The sequence below is a fragment of the Homo sapiens genome, chromosome 4, assembly GCF_000001405.40.
Source record: "Homo sapiens chromosome 4, GRCh38.p14 Primary Assembly".
Classification (NCBI taxonomy): domain Eukaryota; kingdom Metazoa; phylum Chordata; class Mammalia; order Primates; family Hominidae; genus Homo; species Homo sapiens.
This window is the reverse complement of record NC_000004.12, coordinates 82,279,444-82,299,164: the sequence shown is the minus strand read 5'-3', so window position 1 is coordinate 82,299,164 and position 19,721 is coordinate 82,279,444. Positions and strand designations below refer to the sequence as shown.

The 19,721-nt window shown below is 41.0% G+C and overlaps 1 long non-coding RNA gene and 1 pseudogene across 4 annotated transcripts in view, besides 3 other annotated features; one reads left to right on the top strand and one right to left on the bottom strand.

The window, feature by feature from the left end:
• Positions 1 to 1,654: 1,654 nt before the first annotated feature.
• VAMP9P (vesicle associated membrane protein 9, pseudogene) lies at positions 1,655 to 14,194 on the bottom strand (annotated as a pseudogene). 2 transcript variants are annotated; one of them, XR_938935.3, is made up of 4 exons: positions 14,035 to 14,194; positions 13,546 to 13,652; positions 3,378 to 3,474; positions 1,655 to 1,863 (listed from the first exon to the last, which is right to left on the bottom strand). The product of XR_938935.3 is annotated as a vesicle associated membrane protein 9, pseudogene, transcript variant X1 (transcript). The 2 variants fall into 2 exon arrangements; XR_938934.3 differs by lacking the exon at positions 13,546 to 13,652 and having other exon boundaries at positions 1,775 to 1,863.
• Positions 5,552 to 5,752: a silencer, noted in NCBI's record as "peak5068 fragment used in MPRA reporter construct". NCBI's record gives its function as "represses an SCP1 promoter by STARR-seq MPRAs in K562 erythroleukemia cells {active_cell/tissue: K562}" and the evidence as "EXISTENCE:reporter gene assay evidence [ECO:0000049][PMID:32103011]".
• Positions 13,753 to 14,142: a silencer, noted in NCBI's record as "silent region_15527". NCBI's record gives its function as "represses an Ori minimal core promoter by ATAC-STARR-seq in GM12878 lymphoblastoid cells {active_cell/tissue: GM12878}" and the evidence as "EXISTENCE:reporter gene assay evidence [ECO:0000049][PMID:35858748]".
• Positions 13,884 to 19,721, top strand: part of LOC105377308 (uncharacterized) — a 42,328-nt gene continuing 36,490 nt past the window's right edge. Inside the window, exon 1 of one of the 2 annotated variants that reach the window (XR_001741754.2) lies at positions 13,884 to 14,037. This is a non-coding gene — a long non-coding RNA (uncharacterized LOC105377308). The remainder of the gene's footprint in view (positions 14,038 to 19,721) is intronic. The other variant, XR_938936.3, reaches the window with a different exon arrangement.
• Positions 14,183 to 14,342: a silencer, noted in NCBI's record as "silent region_15526". NCBI's record gives its function as "represses an Ori minimal core promoter by ATAC-STARR-seq in GM12878 lymphoblastoid cells {active_cell/tissue: GM12878}" and the evidence as "EXISTENCE:reporter gene assay evidence [ECO:0000049][PMID:35858748]".

Sequence of the window (19,721 nt, the reverse complement as noted above, 5' to 3'; positions counted from 1 at the left end):
TCATGGGTAGGAAGAATCAATGTCGTGAAAATGGCTATACTGCCCAAGGTAATTTATAGATTCAATGCCATCCCCATCAAGCTACCAATGACTTTCTTCACAGAATTGGAAAAAACTACTTTAAAGTTCATATGGAAGCAAAAAAGAGCCCGCATTGCCAAGTCAATCCTAAGCCAAAAGAACAAAGCTGGAGGCATCACGCTACCTGACTTCCAACTATACTACAAGGCTACAGTAACCAAAACAGCATGGTACCGGTACCAAAACAGAGATATAGACCAATGGAATAGAACAGAGCCCTCAGAAATAATACCAGACATCTACAACTATCTGATCTTTGACAAACCTGACAAAAACAAGAAATGAGGAAAGTATTCCCTATTTAACAAACGGTGCTGGGAGAACTGGCTAGCCATATGTAGAAAGCTGAAACTGGATCCCTTCCTTACACCTTATACAAAAATTAGTTCAAGATGGATTAAAGACTTAAATGTTAGACCTAAAACCACAAAAACCCTAGAAGAAAACCTAGGCAATACCATTCAGGACATAGGCATGGGCAAGGACTTCATGTCTAGAACACCAAAAGCAATGACAACAAAGGCCAAAATTGACAAATGGGATCTAATTAAACTAAAGAGCTTCTGCACAGCAAAAGAAACTACCATCAGAGTGAACAGGCATCCTACAGAATGGGAGAAAATTTTTGCTATCTACTCATCTGACAAAGGGCTAATATCCAGAATCTACAATGAACTCAAACAAGTTTACAAGAAAAAAACAAACAACCCCATCAACAAGTGGGCAAAGGATATGAACAGACACATCTCAAAAGAAGACATCTATGCAGCCAACAGACAGATGAAAAAATGCTCATCATCACTGGCCATCAGAGAAATGCAAATCAAAACCAAATGAGATACCATCTCACACCAGTTAGAATGGCGATCATTAAAAAGCCAGGAAACAACAGGTGCTGGAGAGGATGTGGAGAAATAAGAACACTTTTACACTGTTGGTGGGACTGTAAAGTGGTTCAACCATTGTGGAAGAAAGTGTGGCGATTCCTCAGGGATCTAGAACTAGAAATACCATTTGACCCAACCATCCCATTACTGGGTATATACCCAAAGGATTATAAATCATGCTGCTATAAAGACACATGCACATGTATGTTTATTGCGGCACTATTCACAATAGCAAAGATCTGGAACCAACCCAAATGTCCAACAATGAGACTAGATTAAGAAAATGTGGCACATATACACCATGGAATACTATGCAGCCATAAAAATGATGAGTTCATGTCCTTTGCAGGGACATGGATGAAGCTGGAAACCATCATTCTCAGCAAACTATCGCAAGGACAAAAAACCAAACATCGCATGTTCTCACTCATAGGTGGGAACTGAACAATGAGAACACTTGGACACAGGAAGGGGGACATCACACACAGGGGCCTGTTGTGGGGTGGGGGGAGGGGGGAGGGATAGCATTAGGAGATATACCTAATGTAAATGATGAGTTAATCGGTGCAGCACACCAACATGGCACATGTATACATATGTAACTAACCTGCACGTTGTGCACATGTACCCTAGAACTTAAAATATAATAATAAAATAAAAACTGGTAATACTTAGGAATACAGTTTGAGGTTACATACCATTTACTTTCCTAACACTTGTTGAAAATCTGCAGCAAATGCATTTGAAGGAGAAAAATGTTCTTGTGACATCAAAGGATTTCTTGTAAAAGTATCACTAATCTGGAGAAATTAATGGAACTATTTAACCTATATAGATCATTTTAACTGGAGAATTATAGAACAAACATTCATTTGAAGCAAAGTCTAGCAGAATCCTGAAAAATAAAAGAAAACACATCATTTTTGGCTTTTTGGTGGCAGGGCATCCTTTCCATTTAAAGATGGCATATTCATAAACACCGTGTTTGTCCCAGTCTTACACGCTGCTGTTGTACAGATTAGAACCTCATACAGTATGATTGCAGGTGCTATTCCTTGATATATCTGAGGACTTGAGGGGAAGAACAGATGTTTACCTCTGGCAGACAAGGAAAGATGGAATTTTATGGTATTTTTAAAATAGTGCTTTCATTTTCCTCTCTCACCCATACCCTCAAAATCCATTCAACAATAATGAAACAATGCTAAATAAATGTCTTAATAGAAGTACTTAATGAATTTCTCAGAAGCAGTGGTAAAAATGACATGGTTAGTAATGTTGTGTTACCTAGTTTTGGAAAGGTTACAGAGTTGGGATGTTTTGTCATAATACATAGAAAAGAAAAAAAATTACAGTACATTAAGCTAAAATGACTTACAGTGTTTAACATCTGGACTCTGGCAATTTTCTAGGCATAATTGTGGAGTTAATTTTAATATTTAGGCCTTATAGCCTTTAACTCTATATTAGTTTGAATTGGGTTAAAGCAAGCAGATATATTAAACAGAAAATATATGCATGATTCATGAATGTGACTGGCAAATAACTACTACATTGGTAACTATAGTATAGCTGACTAATTTTCGCATTAATATTTTTTACTAAAATATTTATCCTGAATTATATATTTATAAGTAATTTGAAGATTAGTATAATTTACTTTTTAAAATAAGAAACAGTCACACTATTTGAACCATAAAATTACCAGAATAACGGTTTGGCTCTAGTCTGTCTCAAAGACTGCGTTTCATGAACTCTCCTTCTGCTCAGAGATCACACTCAGGATGCTATGAGCAGCAGGTGATATCTAGTGAGAAGGTTAATCACCTTTTAAGATATTTATAAAAATCTTATGTATCTACATAAATACATACACAAAAGTACTCTGTTTATCATAGTTTAGACATGCTGGCTATTGTCAGTTAAAACTTTCCCTAGAGATGGTATGTCTTGATTTAAAAAACATTTTTTGATTAACTCTTCTAATTGATATATATACTTTAACACAAGTGTCTTTAGACTACCGATCTAAAAAATTTTTGATCACTTACCTCCTCACATACATACTTTGTAAATTAAGTACATGTGCCATTGAAAAAGTATATTAAACACTAGAGTAGCTTAATTTCTTTCTTAATTTTAAAACAAAATAAATATAAGGAGAGGTTCTAATAAATCTGAGTGGATGATCTTTGCAGGCCTTACTTTAGGGCCAGGCGAAGTATGGAAACACGAGCCAGATGAGTGATGCAGGTAATAAATCTCTGAAGGTCATGAATGGCTCTGCTTTACATATAGCAGGTGAGTGAGCTGCTTTTGGTTAGCACACTACTACTAATAAACTATAAAGCAGAGACCTCACAATTTCAGTAACTCAAAAAGTCCTTACAGTACAATAAAATTACTTACGTTTTTAAGAAATGCAGATGGTGTCACAGAATCCAAAGCATTGTCTGTAGCACATACATAAGTGATTCCATCAATAAAGACAGTATGGCAAACATAGCTTTGAAAAGAAAACATGATAATATTAAAGAAGTACCCACACAGAGAATTTAACCTCATTTTTCAAGCTTTCATTAGTGGTATTAAGAACTATATAGATAACTTTTTATAATCAGAATAATTGGATGGGTGCAGTGGCTCATGCCTATAATCTCAGCACTTTGGGAGGCTGAGGTGGGAGGATTGCTTGAGCCCAGGAGTTGAAGATTGGCCTGGGCAACATAGCAAGACCCCATTTCTACAAAAAATACAAAAAAATTAGCTGGGCATGGTGGTGCACGCCACACTGTATTTCCAGCTACCTGGGGGGCTAAGGTGGGAGGATTGATTGAGCCAGGAGGTTGAGACTGCAGCGAGCCATGATCACGCCACTGTACTCCAGCCTGGGCGACAGAGTGAGACCCTGTCTCAAACAAAAATAAAAAAACCAAAAACAAAGAAGCATAATAATTAGAAGACCTCTCATATATTTGAAAAATTGAAGTAAATTATGTTAAGTGAAATCTGTAGAATTTAAATATGTATTTAAAATTGCATCAATAAAAATAAATCAAAGAGAAAACTAATAATTTGGTATATATATATATTTTATTTTTTGAGATGGAGTCTCACTCTGTCGCCCAGGCTGGAGTGCAGTGGTGCAATCTTGGCTCACTGCAACCCCTGCCTCCCGGGTTCAAGCAATTCTCCTACCTCAGCCTCCCGAGTAGCTGGGATTACAGGCATGTGCCACCATGCCTAGATAATTTTTGTATTTTTAGTAGAGACAGGGTTTCACTATGTTGGCCAGGCTGGTCTCGAACTCCTGGCCTCAAGTGATCTGCCTCCCATGGCCTCCCAAAGTGCTGGGATTACAGGTGTGAGCCACCACGCCTGGCCTATATATATATCTATATTTGAAGTCACTCACATTCTAAGACTGAATCAAGATTCTGACTAAATAGAAAATGCTATGTTTGGCTGGATGCGGTGGCTCATACCTGTAATCCCAGAACTTTGGGAGGCTGAGGCGGGTGCATCACGAGGTCAGGAGTTCAAGACCAGCCTGGCCAACATAGTGAAACCCTGTTTCTACTAAAAATACAAAAAATTAGCCAGGTGTGGTGGCGGGCACCTGCAATCCCAGCTACTCGGGAGGCTGAGGCAGAAGAATCGCTTGAACCCAGGAAGTGGAGGTTGCAGTGAGCCAAGATTGCGCCATTGCACTCCTGCCCAGGCGAAAGTGTGGGACTCTGCCTGTAAAACAAAAACAAACACAGAAAATACTATGTTCATTGAATTTTAGTATGTCTATATTTTAGGTAGACATATTTAATTTTGGTACATCTTGGTTTTCTATACATTAGAATTAAAAATTTGTAAACTGCAAATACCAAATATTCAGGATGAGTTGGGGAGGGAGGAATGAATGTTAAAGTGAACCACAGTATGTTAAAATGAACCTTAGCATGACCACTCAACCATCTAGACCTTTCTGCCTTCTCAGAGTCCCACAGTAGGGGCTAGAATCCCCTTGGAAAGTGCCTCCATCCTTTACTGCCCAACAATCCAGAAAATGCAGGAATATGCAACAAAAATAGTTGCTTGGTGCCTAGACTTTAGTCTTTGTGAATACTATCTCTAAATGGTTAACAGGCAACAGACATGGTCAAATGCTAAATTGAATATATATGAGAATGAGGAAACTCAGAAACAGGAAGAAAAGATAATTTCAGAGGCAGAAAATTTAACATATGAACCCTTTCAGTGTAAATCCTTCACATCATATCATGAATACAATATGCTACAAATGTTTTTAATGATTATATTGATTTATACACATAATCTCCACCTAGAAAACATTTTTATTTAAAAATTTGGTGGAGTCCGCTGAAAAAGAGTTGCTAATTGTACCATCTATCTGAAAGTTACACATGTAATTTGAAGTAAATTGATACTGCATGTGAAAAAGAGATATTTTAAATTTATGCTTAGTATGTTATTAATACTATGAGTAATATTCAGAAAGCATCTATAATCTTAAAAACAACTTGAATATCTGATGTTCAGGAGATATCATTAATTGACAAAAGCCAGGTGGAGAAAAGTGTGCATGATGTGCTATCATTTATCTATCACATCATACGCTACCATAAGGGAAGTTCAAATGTACATACAGTAGTCTCTTATTTGTGGCTTCACTTTCTGTGGTTTCTGTTACTCATGGTCAACCGCAGTCCAAAAATAGGTGAGTAAAATGCAATGAGATGTTTTTGTGAGAGAGAGAAAGAAAGATGACATTTACATAACTTTTGTTACAGAATATTGTTATAATTGCTCTATTTTATTATTATTGTTGTTAATTTCTTATTGTACCTAATTTATACATTAAATGTTATCATATATGTATAAAAACACACAGTATATTTTATAGGGTTTGGTACCATCTGTGGTTTCAGGTATCCACAAGACTGGGGGTCTTGGAATGTATCCCCCTCAGATAAGGGAGGGCTACTGTATGTACTCTATATTGTGTTCTTTTTTTTGAGACAGGGTCTGGCTCTCTCACCCAGGCTGGAGTGCAATGGTGTAATCTCTGCTCACTGCAACCTCCACCTCCCGAGCTTAAGCCATCCTCCCACCTCAGCCTCCCAAGTAGCTGGGACTGCAGGTGTGCACCATTATACCCGGCTAATGTATTCTTATAGAATGTATTTCTTATAGGAAAAAAGAAAAGAAAAAAAGATAAACCAAAAACTTGTTCAAAATGGTTACCTACATAGGGGGAAAGAGTAGTAAGGAGAGGAACAGAATGCAAATTAGACTTCTCGAAGGAACTGTTTTGTAGATTTGACTTTGGTACTGCATATATATTTTGCATAATAAAAATGTTATTAATGAAACTTTTAAAAAAAGTAACCATTAGGTCCGGGCACGGTGGGTCACGCCTGTAATCCCAGCACTTTGGGAGGCCGAGGTGGGCGGATCACAGGGTCAAGAGATCGAGACCATCCTGGCAAACATGGTGAAACCATGTCTACTAAAAATACAAAAATTGCTGGGCATGGTGGCGCGCACCTGTAATCCCAGCTACTTGGGAGGCTGAGGCAGGAGAATCGCTTGAACTTGGGAGGTAGAGGTTGCAGTGAGCCAAGATTGCACCACTGCACTCCAGCCTGGCGACAGAGCGAGACTCCGTTTAAAAAACAAAGAAAAAAGTAACCATTAGAAATCAGAAACAAAATGAGAAAGATGGCTTTGTATTGAGTGATCAAGGCAGGAGATGATGGTGGCTTGGTTACTATTTGGAGAGGACAGGCAATGGGATTTGCCCATGGATTGGATTTCAATATAAAAGAGACAAGAGTCAAGAATACTATAGGTTTTAGGCCTGAGGAACTAGAAAAGTGATATGTGGAAGACTTCTGGAAGAGGCTTAGCTTTGGATATGTTTGAGATACTTTAATTAGACATTCAAGCAGAGTGGAACAAGTGGGTATACGAGTCTGGAGTTCAGAAAAAAAGGTCTTCAAAAGATTCAAATTAGAATGTAGAACACAGGTAAGCAAACAGCAAATAAGGAAAGTATCTCTTTTTAAAATCATTTCAGCTAATTTTGTCTGTGAATACAAAACTAGATTATTACCATTTTGCAATCCCTTATAAATTAGTGGCTCTTGGGCCTAGCAATGAGTATCGATAGCTGCTAACATCTCAAAAGGAGATATAATCAGATACCATGTACCATCTGATGCAAAAACACTCGTACTATAGTCCTGCTGAAGGGGTTGAGCCTCTGGGTTGGCTACTTGGTAAATGGTGACCTGAATTTTGAGTATGCAATCAGCAAACCTACACTGTGGGAAACTCTGTCAGTTCTTCAACAATAAACTGCAAGGGAAAAAGAAAAAAAGAAATGGAGGGGGAATAAGTGTATTTAAAGAGATTTAAAAGACATCAAATTAAAAAATGGGCAGGATTGGGCTCCCATCTGAGGATGTGTATTTGGGTGCTGATGCAATGAAGAAACAGGGAAATGACTACTATGGAAGCTGGGATGGTGTCTGATTTTGCTGGGATGGTGTTTGATTTTGCAGGGATGGTGTTTGATTTTGCAGAGATGGAGGAAGCGGTGAATGGGACAGGACATATGGTGGGGGTGGCTGGCAGTATTCCGTTTTCTTTGGCCTAGATGATAATTGCTGCTGGAGAGAGTCCCTTGCTACACTTCACAAAGCTATACATTCATTAGATGTGATATCTTTGTTTCTCTGTTTTACTTACGATAGAAAGGTTAAAACAAACCTACTCTAAAAAAAATGAAGAGCCTTAAAAATAATAGAATCTTTCTTTTCCCTCACTTCCTCCTTTACTAGCAACTGTTTTCAAGACTGATTTAGGCCATACCATGTAATGTCCTAAGTGAAGCTTAAGAGTGATGTCCACTGTTTTTTGTTGTTGTTTTGTTTTGTTTTGAGACAAGGTCTTGCTCAATTGCCCAGGCTGGGGCGCAGTGGTGCGATCACAGCTCACTGCAGCCTTGACCTCCCTGGCTCAGTTGATCCTCCCACCTCAGTTTCCCAAGTAGCTGGGACTATACAGGTGCTTGCCACCACACACAGCTAATTTTTTGTAGAGATGGGGTTTCACCATAGTGCCTAGGTTTGTCTCAAACTCCTGGGCTCAAGGGATCCACCCGTCTCAGCCTCCCAAAATTTTGGGGTTACAGGCGTGAGCCACCATGCCCAGCCAGCCACTGTTCTCATTCTTATTAAAGATATTTTAAGGTAGATGTTTCCTTTTTTATTAATGAAATGTTTTGGGTATACCCAAAAGAATGGAGAATAAGATAACAAGAACACTTTTAGACCTGTCTAAAAGTGCTAGACTAGTTAGATAAGGTTAATATATCCTCTTTATACCCTTCCTTAAATTTATTTTCTGTTTTCCATTTGAAAAGGTAAACACTATCTTAATTTGGTGTTTATCATCCCCATTCCTGATTTTATACTTTTACAGATAGAAGTTCTCCTTTCTGAGGGTTCGATCAAGAGTATGTGTAACTAGTGTTTACGTCATCATCGGAATTATTTTCTGGTAATTGTTCAAAAACAGATCTGTATTAGAACTTACTTTACCTTCCCATTTGAATTATGGTCTTTGGTTCAGCTCTAAGAAGCACTAATCTAAGCACTTTTGCCACTGCTTCCTAAAAATAAATTGTCAGCATTTACTTTGCAGAAGATTGTAGTGTATTTCATTATTCTCCTCCTAAATTTATCAATGTTCTAATTAGTTTATTAAGGAAAACCAGTTCACTAGGAGAACTAATGAGTGGGGATTCATAATGCATGGTAACAGTCAAGTGATCCTGAAATATTCATATGAATCTGAAGAAAAATATTAAAACCACATAAATATACATATAATATACACATATATGTGTGCAAATATAGGTTGAACTACATAATCTTATTTTTATTTTTTGTTTTTTTTGAAACGGAGTCTCGCTCTGTCGCCCAGGCTGGAGTGCAGTGGCGCGATCTCTGCTCACTGCAAGCCCTGCCTCCTGGGTTCACGCCAGTCTCCTGCCTCAGCCTCCTGAGTAGCTGGGACTATAGGCGCCCGCCGCCACGCCCGGCTAATTTTTTTGCATTTTTAGTAGAGACGGGGTTTCATCGTGTCAGCCAGGATGGTCTCGATCTCCTGACCTCGTGATCCGACCGCCTCGGCCTCCCAAAGTGCTAGGATTACAGGCGTGAGCCACTGCACCCGGCCCCATTTTTACTTCTTTTGTGATACTGCAGTTGCTTCAGGCCATCTGGATCAATAATCTTATTTTTACAATCATATCTTATACATGGTTTCAAGGCTGGAAAGCACTATCTAATCAAACATCTTTTCAGTAACCACTAGCTACTGAAACTATAAATAAAATGTTAATAGTTAAGGATATTCATCTTTTATTTTCTGAATACCCTAAGCAGTCTTACCTTATTTTTTAAGATAAAAATTTTTATTCACTATTGTTCACTGATCTCTTTCTAAAAAACAAACAATTGCTAAGAACTCTTATACCTGTTTCTTATAAGGCTCATTCTTTGGGGAAAAATTTGTAAGATACTATGACTATCCAGAATAACTTAAATGTAATCAGTTATATGCAGTCCCATTAATTTACTTTAGAAGTGTTAAAGAAATCTGAAAGTTACCCAAGAAGTCTTGAATGGCTATAATCCCAATTAATTTTTCCATTTTCACAAAATAACAAGAAATAAAAACATTTATGGAAGGGTAAAAGTTATTATTAATGGTAGAAAGTAAAACCTGAAACTCTTGGTATTGCCTGAAAAGTCCCAGTGATATTTTCTAGGAAAGGATTTCCTAAAAAACTTGAAAAATTAAAGGGACACACAAACTCTCAATTATTAGTAATGGAACATATTCCCACATTTTCCCCCAAGTGTCTCTTTTAGTGTATAGTGTAAACATTGGTATCTTAGCAAAATTTGAAACAAAACAAATGGCAATATGAGGCAGTAAAATGAATGGCAAAGTGGGTTCTAGTTGTGTTTCTAGAATTAATGTGTTGCATGACTTAGTGACTTGTCTGGGTCTGTTTACTCGTGGGAAGAATGAAGAGATTGGACAGATGATCTCTAGGATCCCGTTCAGTGCCAGGATTCTATAATAGCAGTTAGTTGGATCTCATGATTAAACTTTGGTACTCATGTTTTTCAAATGGATATAAAATTTTTTATATCCTTGGCATTGAGGGAAGATGTGATACTTTTTTCTTTCCTTTTAACCTGAACTATTTCTTGAAGCTCCTTGCTATTCTTTTTCTCCTCCCTAGTCAGCTTTCTGCACAGCAGTCATTCCAGGCCTTCAGTGCTCTCCTCCAATTATATACTGCCTTATACCTCTACTTTCTTCCCTTCCTGTATGCTTCACCAAGAGAGGTCACTTGGGGCTTATGAAAGATTTTAGTTTTCTCTCTCCTTTCTTAATTAACAAATTAAAAAAACATTTATTGAGAACTTACTGCCTATTATGTATTAGGCATTGGACACCGGAAAGACAGAGATGAAGACTGTCCCTGTCCTTGAGTTCGATGGCAGAGACAGACAAGTGAAAGAAGATTCTAATTCAGCCTGGTAAGTAGTTTGGTAGAGGAATGTAAGTTAACCTGTGTGTAGTGGAGGCTTCAAGGAGAAAAACTGAGAAGAGTCTCAAAGCATAAATGTTATACTGCCCCAAAATGGAGAAAAGTAATTTCCAGGTAGAGGGAAAAGGAGATGCAGAGGGAGACCATGGTGAGATAGCAGAACAGCACGAAATTCAGGATAGTTGGAGCACATGGGTATGTGGGAAAGGGAAGGAGATAACCAGAGAGGGCCTTGAGTGCCAGGCTAAGGAGTGTGGGTAATGTAATCAGTAGCCACCAAATTATTTTAAGCAGGGGAGTGATATGATCCTATTTGCTTTTAGGAACTATCATTGGGGCAGCAGTGTGGAAATTGTTTTTTAGTAGGACAAGGCTGAAGTCTGGGAGATTAGTTAGGAGGTGTTTTCAATAAGCCTGGTGAGAGGGGCTGGGATGAAGACATGGTTCAGAAACAAGGAGATAGATTTGAGATATACTCAGGAGATACAAAACTGATAGAACTGGGTGATGAATGAACAGATGTGAAGCGGAAGAAGGGAAACAACTGGAGGTGACTCCCAGTTTCCAGCTTGAATAGCTCAGTAGAGCTACTAAGCAAGATCAGAAATAGTCACGTGTCACTTAACGACAGAGATACGTTCTGAGAAATGAGTCATTAGCCAATTTGCTTGTGTGCAAACATCATAGAGTGCACTTACACAAACCTAGATGGTCTAGCCTACTACACACCTAAGCTATTATGGTATTGCCTATTGCTCCTAGGCTACAAACCTGGACAGTATGTTACTGCACTGAATATTGTAGGCAATTCGAGCACAATGGTATTTGTGTATGTAAATGTCATAAACATAGAACAGGTACAGTAAAAATGTGGTATTATAATCTTATGGGACCACTGTCATATATATGGCCTGTCATTGACCAAATCATCATTAGGCAGTGCATGACTGTATGCAAGGAGGAATCTGTTAGGAAAGACAATTAATTTAGTTCTGGACATGATATGTTCTATTAGGCAATCTAACTCAGGAGAGAGATAACTTTGGAAGTGGGTTTGGCTGTAATCAGAGGAAAGGTGTCTATGGATGTGAATGAGTGTGTCAAGTTAAAAGAGGACTACAACGAGAACCTTAAGGAACACAGCATGTAAGGGATTGGTAAAGAAGAGAGCCCCAGGAGGAGACTGAATCATATGTCTATATTCACATTCTCCTTTCCTGAAGAGAAAGAGGGTATTCCCCTAATCTGAGGCTCACATCTCTACTGCCAAATTGGATTCCATCCTTTTGTGCCCCTTAAAGCCTTACTCCACCAATAGCCCCCTCGTCTCTTATATCTTTGACCTTTTCTTTCCATTAGCTTAACTTACATGTGAAAGTTTTCCTTATATTAAAAAAATGAGGTGCCTTCCTGGATCATGCTGCATCTAGCTTTCACTCCATCTCATTCCCTTTCTAAATTTTTGAAGGAACAGTCTAACCTCATTCTCCCTACTTTCCTATCTCTCACTCATTTGGCGTAAAGGTACTGGGCTTCTGCCTCTGCTCTTCTCCCAAACTGCTTACAGTACAATCACCAATCATCTTCCCATTGTAGAGTCTAATGAACACCTTTTAGTTCTTGCTCAAGGTGTTGACTGGACTAGACATGAACTTATTGGGGACATGCTCAACTTACTGGGGATATGAGAAATTCTTGTAAATTTCTTCTTTTGGCTTGTAGGACACCACAGCTCACATTTGGTGACCCATCTCTCTACTTTCTTCTTAAACCATGTTCTGCCTTTTGGTCCTCCTCTTTTCTCACTTTCTATACATTTCCCGGGCAGTCTTACCCATTTCTACTCCTTTTAACGGTCAGTCTTGACTCTCTGAATGCTAGAGCAATATATTCATTACCTACTAGACATTTTTCTGACTTAAAACCCTTTGGAAATAGGTGGAAAAATAAATACACATATAGATTTGGCCATTTTCAACAGGTAACAAAATTCAGCATGTCCCAAACTCTATTCTTCTCCCCTACATTCCCTCCCACCATTTTTCTCCTCTTTCTATGTTCTCTTTGTAGTTCAATGCCACCTACGAAAAAATTCTGAGGCTTATCCTATGCATTACCTTGTCCAGCATCTGACATATTCAACCAGTTATCAACTCCTGAGAATGAAGTTTAGAGAGTCTCCTTAGGGGCCAGGCTCGGTGGCTTGTGCCTGTAATCCTAGCACTTTGGGAGGCCGAGGCAGGCAGATCATCTGAGGTCAGGAGTTCGAGACCAGGCTGACCAACATGGAGAAACCCCGTCTCTACTGAAAATACAAAATTAGCTGGGTGTGGTGGCGCATGCCTGTAATCCCAGCTACTTGGGAGGCTGAGACAGGAGAATTGCTTGAACCCGGGAGGCAGAGGTTGCAGTGAGCCGAGATTGCGCCATTGCACTCCAGCCTGAGCAACAAGAGTGAAACTCCGTCTCAAAAAAAAAAGAAAGTCTCCTTAGGATCTGCCCCTTCTTTCCATTTGCACCATCATTGTCTTAGTGCAGGCCCATCCATTCTAAATGGATATCACCCTCCCAATCTACCTTCCACATTGTAACCAGACCAAACTTATCAGAAGGTAAATCAGATCTTGCTATTCCTCTGTTTATAAATCTTAGTTGCTCCCCAGGTTCTCTGGGATGAGAAAACAGCTGTATATAGGACCCTTCATTTGCTGTCTTCTGCCCACTTTCCTGGCCTTATCTCCAGCCTCTACACCCTCATCCTTGTGTTCCAGCCACACTGAGGTTCCTGGGAATCTGCAGACACACCATGCTCTTTTCTCTGCATGGAGTTCTCATTCCCCTTTCCTGTGCCAGGCTAGGACTAATTCTTACAAGTTTATAAGCCAAGAGCCCATCTTGAAAACTACAAGAACAATCGCAACCTACCTCCGTTGAAATACTTTTTACACTCTAGGACAATTGTCTATAGCCCTTGGATATAAAGGGGCAATGCCAGGCTCATGTTCACTGCTGAATCCGTGATATTCTTTACTCTGGGATTTTGTGACAGAGATATGTTCAATAAATGTGTGCTGAACTGCAGGTCATTTCTCCGCAGGAGAAAGACAAATTTTAGGGTCTATCAAAGTTGGACCTGGGTTCAAATAGCCACCAAACCCAGCACGTGCAGCGCCAGCTCTGTCCCCTAGGTGGCGCACGTGCGGCAGCCGCCGGGACGCCAGCCTCTCGCGGGGGCGGGGCCTCTTGCGGGGGCGGGGTCTCTCGTGGGGGCGGGATCTCTCGCGGGGCGGGAGCTTGTGTCCCCCGAGCAGGTTCCGGACCACCTCGCAGCGCCGCGTCCTTAGGGGCGGGCTCGGGGGGCACCACCCTCGAGGGGCGGAACCCGTGGGGGCGGTGGCGTGGATCCGGAGGTACCTGGTAAGAACCTCCAGTCAGTGTCAGCTCCGCTAGGACCGCTCGGCCATTAGCAATGCAGCTGTACATGATCGTCATAGCAGGCGGGCCAGTGAAGGAAAGGCTCCTCTGGACCCAACCGTCCGGGACAGCCTCGGGGCGGTGACCGGGGCGGGGCTTCGGGAGAGGGCGGTGCGTGCGCAGGCGCGAAGAGGGACTGATTGGCAGGGAGAGAGGCGGGGCCGTCTCCAGCCCTAGCGGCGCGTTTGACGGGACACGGGCGGGGTCTCTGGAGAAACCTGCTTTGGGTGGCAGCCTTTCTCCTTAAAATCATTTGTCGAGCGCCAGTGTACTTCATAGTGTTTACCTCCTTATGATTTATTCACAATCTAGAGCATGTGAAATGTAGACCTTGATTTTAAAGAAAATTAATTCATTAATCCAGGCATTTATTGAACTCCGGCTGTGCGCTAAATGCCTTAGATTCCTGGGTATGCAAGTAGGTCGGCCCCGACCTTGAAGTTGAGGAGTTCATATTCTAGTAGTGGTTACAGAGGCACAGGCGGAGAAACGCCAGTCTCAAGTGGTATGCGTGTGCTATCAGGGAAAGATGAACAAAGCTGCAGAAGATGGGATGGAGAGCTAGCAAAGCTTTAAAAGTCCTTGACTTAGAGGATGGGTTGGCGTTCTCTAAGTGGGGAGGAAAGAAAGATAGGAGAGTCTAGGCAGAGGGAATAGCTTCTGTAAAGGCTTGAAAGAAGGCAGGTGGGTTTGGGGGATGAGTGTGGCAGAGAAAAGGTGTATGAGAGAGTAGGTAGGAGGGCAGAGTGGAAGGAGTGGTAGCATGACTTTTGTTGTCTTAGACCTTGGGTGCCTTGACAATAATTTTTTAAAAGTGTGACCTTATATATTTTCATCACCAAGGTATTGTGGTAGAGTGGAAAGAGTTTGCCTTTGAAGTCAGACAAACTTAGATTCATATATGGGCATTGCCCATGTACTCCATGAGTTTATGTAACTTAATCTTTCTGAGAGTCAGTTTCCTAGTTCATAAAATGGGGGTAATTGTCAAGTTTAAATGAAATAATTATGCAAAAATATTAGCATACAGTAGTTATGCAATTGCAGTAATTTGTGATAAGTACATATTACTTTCTTGCTCCCAATGGTGTAATCTTTTTTTTTTTTTGAGACAGGGTCTAGAGTGCAGTGGCATGATCACGGCTCACTGCAACCTCCACCTTCTGGGTTGAAACGATCCTTCCACCTCAGCCTCCTGAGTAGCTGGGACCACAGGTGTGTGCCACCACGCCTGACTAATTTTTGTATTTTTAGTAGAGACGGGGTTTCACCATGTTGGCCAAACTGGTCTTGAACTCTTGACCTCAAGTGGTCCACTCTCCTTGGTCTCCTAAAGTGCTGGGATTACAGGTGTGTCACTGCGCCTGAACCCAATGGTGTAACCTTAAAGAATGACAATCAGTATCCTTCTGGGTGTCTGGGTGAAGGCAGGTAGTCAATTCCATTTCCTTTAACACAGGGTAATCAAATTGGATTTGACAAGGAAGGAGCGAAACTGGTCTGCACTATAGCTCCTGAGAAAAATGCCTTGTTGAATCATGTATCCTATATACAGGAAATCTCGAATCAGTGTGTCTTATCAGCTTGATAAGTGTGTCTGTGTTACAGGCAGGGTGACTGATTAAAACCACTGGTCACATTACTTATACCTGGGAAGAGGAAATTTGTTAACTCTGGGGTAATGCTTTTGCTTACCCCAGGGTCTTGCTTACAGTAAAAACAAACCGAATAAACCTCACCACAAATCTATCTTTTTTGAGCCCCTTCTCCCTGGTGAGCTTTCAGCACAGCAGTCATTCTAAGCCTTTAATCCTCCCCTCCAATTGCATACTGTCCCTTGTGCTTTCTTTCCTTCCTGTATGTTTTCTGTATGCTGTATTATGCCTGATAGCCAAGGCTTACTCTAGTCAATGCCAGGTTTCCTCACTTAACTCAGGATTTCTCCCTTTCCTTCTTTCCCCATGGGGTGGCATCTCTGAGTGTGGGAAACTTGGTGGAGGGAAAGAGCTTCCAATTAGTGACCTTCGTCCCTCTAAGGTGGAATCTGCAGCTAATGTTTGTTTTCTGTCTGTCTCTGATCACCAGTCACACACTCTACTTGGAACCCCAAGGCCCCTTTAGGTGCTCTGTTTCTCTTTCAGTCACTTTTTTGGTCCTCTTGGAGGCGAAGAAAAATTCCCACTGCTCCCACATGTCATTGTGAGGCTGCGGGTGGCTCCAGAGGCTGTGTCACAATATGCCCTCCTGTCGCACTCTCCTGTTGTGCTGTGTCACTGCTATCATGTGGGGAGCAGCTTTTAGACCTTACTTCATTTGGGAAGCAAGCTCTTGGATCCCCAATTTACTAGGAGTCTTCTCATCACCACACTATGTCACCCCTCACTTCCTAGAGAGGGCTCTAGCTAGTTGGAGTGCTTCCTTCTCATTCTGTCCTTCTCTGACATGTGGACATTCCAGCAAGTCTAGGTAGGGCAACTCTGACCACCCTGGGCGTTTTCCCAGTTGATGCCATGAACGTTGATTGTCTGAAACCTTTTTTTCCCCATATACTCTGTTTTCAGAGAGTTCCCAAAATCTATTTTGAAACTTTTTAGAATGAGAAGCTTTTCTGTCTTACTCTCTTCTTCCTCCATCTCTCCTTCCTCCTCCTCCATTTTTTTCATTCTCCATTTTTGTGCCAAAGAGAATAACTGAGAATGAAAACCACGGCAGGTAATATAAAATATCACAGACATTTCCACCTTTCCCTTGATAGTTTGATACAATCTTGAGGATGCAGCAGAAAGAGTGGTGAGAAGCTAGGATCCTGGGAAGGTGAAATGGGACATTTCACTGTTGTTAATTTCTTTCACAACATGCTTTTAGACTCATCAGTACTTTGACTGGTGAATACTACTATCATTGCTTTTTATTTTATTTATTTTTGAGACAGAGTCTTACTCCGTTGCCCAGGCTTGAGTGCAGTAGCACGATCTCGACTCACTGCAACCTCTGCCTCCTGGGTTAAAGTGATTCTCCTGCCTCAGCCTCCTGAATAGCTGAGATTACAAGTGTGCACCACCACACCTGGCTAATTTTGTATTTTTAGTAGAGACAGGGTTTCATCATGTTGGTCAGTCTGGTCTCGAACCCCTGACCTTAAGTGATCCGACCCCCTCAGCCTCCCGAAGTGCTGGGATTACCTGCGTGAGCCACTATGCCTGAATTATCATTGCTTTTTAGAGGTTAGCTTCCCAGAAGGAAGAGCAACTAATTTTTTAGTCATCTGACTTCTTAGGTCATTAGAGAGTTTGTAAGTGTTTTTGTCAGCTGGAGACTTTCAAGCACTCACTAATTCAAGATGAGTCTTATTAAGTATTGAAGTTCTCTCATAAAGGACTGTTTTTTTAGTTATTGTTCTTCAAAATGGAACATTTTTATAATTTTTTTATTTACGTATGTGATCACTGTAAAAATTTAGGCTGGGCACAGTGGCTGAAGCCTGTAATCCCAGCAGTTTGGGAGGCCCAGGTGGGAGAACCACCTTAGCCCAGGAGTTCAAGACCAGCCTGGACAACATGGTGAAACCCCGTCTCTACAAAAAATAGAAAAATTAGCTGGACGTGATGGTGCGCACCTGTGGTCCCGGCTACTTGGGAGGCTGAACTGGGAAAATTGTTTGAGGCTGAGAAGTCAAGGCTGCAGTGAGTCATGATCGCACTGCTGCACTCCAGCCTAGGCAATAGAGTGAGACCTTGTCTAAAAAAAAAAAAAAAAGTAAACAATACTAGAGTAAAAGCCTGTCTATTTTTACCATCCCATAAAAGAACCACTGGAATAATCTAATTTATATTTGTCTTTTCATTTTTGTGCATTTTATATACATTTTTCTGAAAATTTTTTTTTTTTTAGACCGAGTCTTACTCTGTTTTCCAGGCTAGACTGCAGTGGTGGGATCATAGCTGACTGCAGCCTCGAACTCTTGGTCTCAAGTGATCTTCCTGCCTTCGCCTCCTGAGTAGCTGGGAGTACAGACAAGTGCCGCCATGCTCTGCTAATTTTGTTCTTTTTATTTTTAGGCAGGGTCTCACTGGTCACCTAGGCTGGAGTGCAGTGGCACAATCTTGGCTCACTGCAGCCTTGACTTCTCAGAATCAAGCTGTCATCCTACCTCAGTCTCCTGAGCAGCTGGGAATACAGGCACATGCTACCATGCCTGGCTAATTTTTGTACTTTTTGTAGAGACTGGGTTTCACCATGTGGCCCAGGCTGGTCTTGAACTCCTGGACTCAAGAGATTCATCTGCCTTGGCCTCCCAGAGTGCTGGGATTACAGGCGTGAGTCACCATGCCCAGCCTGTTCTTTCTTTTCTTTTCCTTTTTTTTTTTTTTGAGATGGAGTCTCCCTCTTGCTGCCCAGGCTGGAATGCAGTGGCGTGGTCTCGGCACACTGCAACCTCCATCTCCTGGGTTCCAGAGATTCTCCTCCTCAGCCACCCAAGCAGCTGGGATTACAGGTGTGTGCCACCACGCCTGGCTAATTTTTATATTTTTGGTAGAGACGGGATTTCACCATGTTTGCCAGGCTGGTCTCGAACTCCTGACCTCAGGTGATCTGCCTGCCTTGGCGTCCTAAAGTGCTAGGATTACAGGCGTGAGCCACCGTGCCTGGCCTGTTTTTTAAATTAACAATGTTTTCTTTGACTATCATATATATATCTCAGATGTTTCTTTTGAGGTTTATTATTTGATTTTTCTTTTTCTTTATGGTGTCTATTTTTTTATTTAGACATTTTTGTTGGACCTTAGTGTCATACTAGGCAAGGCCTCTTTTTCTATCCCCATCCCCAAATGTAAATGTTTTCTTATTTTTTTCTGTTACTTTTATATGTTTGTTTTAATGTTTAAATCTTTAATCCACCTGGAATTTGTTTTTGTGCCCTTTATGAGGTTGGAATTTGCATCTTCCCAAATGGACAGCCAACTATTCTATTTTTTTAATTATACTTTAAGTTCTGGGGTACATGTGCAGAATGTGCAGTTTTGTAACATAGGTATACACGTGCCATGGTGGTTTGCTGCACCCATCAACCCATCAGCTACATTAGGTATTTCTTCTAATGCTATCCCTCCCCTAGTCCCCCACCCCCCAACAGGCGCTGGTGTGTGATGTTCCCCTCCCTGTGTCCATGTGTTCTCATTGTTCAACTCCCACTTATGAGTGAGAACATGCGGTGTTTGGTTATCTGATCTTGTGATAGTTTGCTGAGAATGACGGTTTCCAGCTTCATCCATGTCCCTGCAAAGGACATGAACTCATCCTTTTTTATGGCTGCATAGTATTCCATGGTATATGTGCCACATTTTCTTTATCCAGTCTAATATTGATGCACATTTGGGTTGGTTCCCAGTCTTTGCTATTGTGAATAGTGCTGCAATAAACATACGTGTGCATGTGTCTTTACAGTAGAATGATTTATAATCCTTTGGATATATACCCAGTAATGGGATTGCTGGGTCAAATGGTATTTCTAGTTCTAGATCCTTGAGGAATCGCCACACTGTCTTCCACAATGGTAGAACTAATTTACACTCCCACCAACAGTGTAAAAGCATTCCTATTTTTCCACACCCTCTCCAGCATCTGTT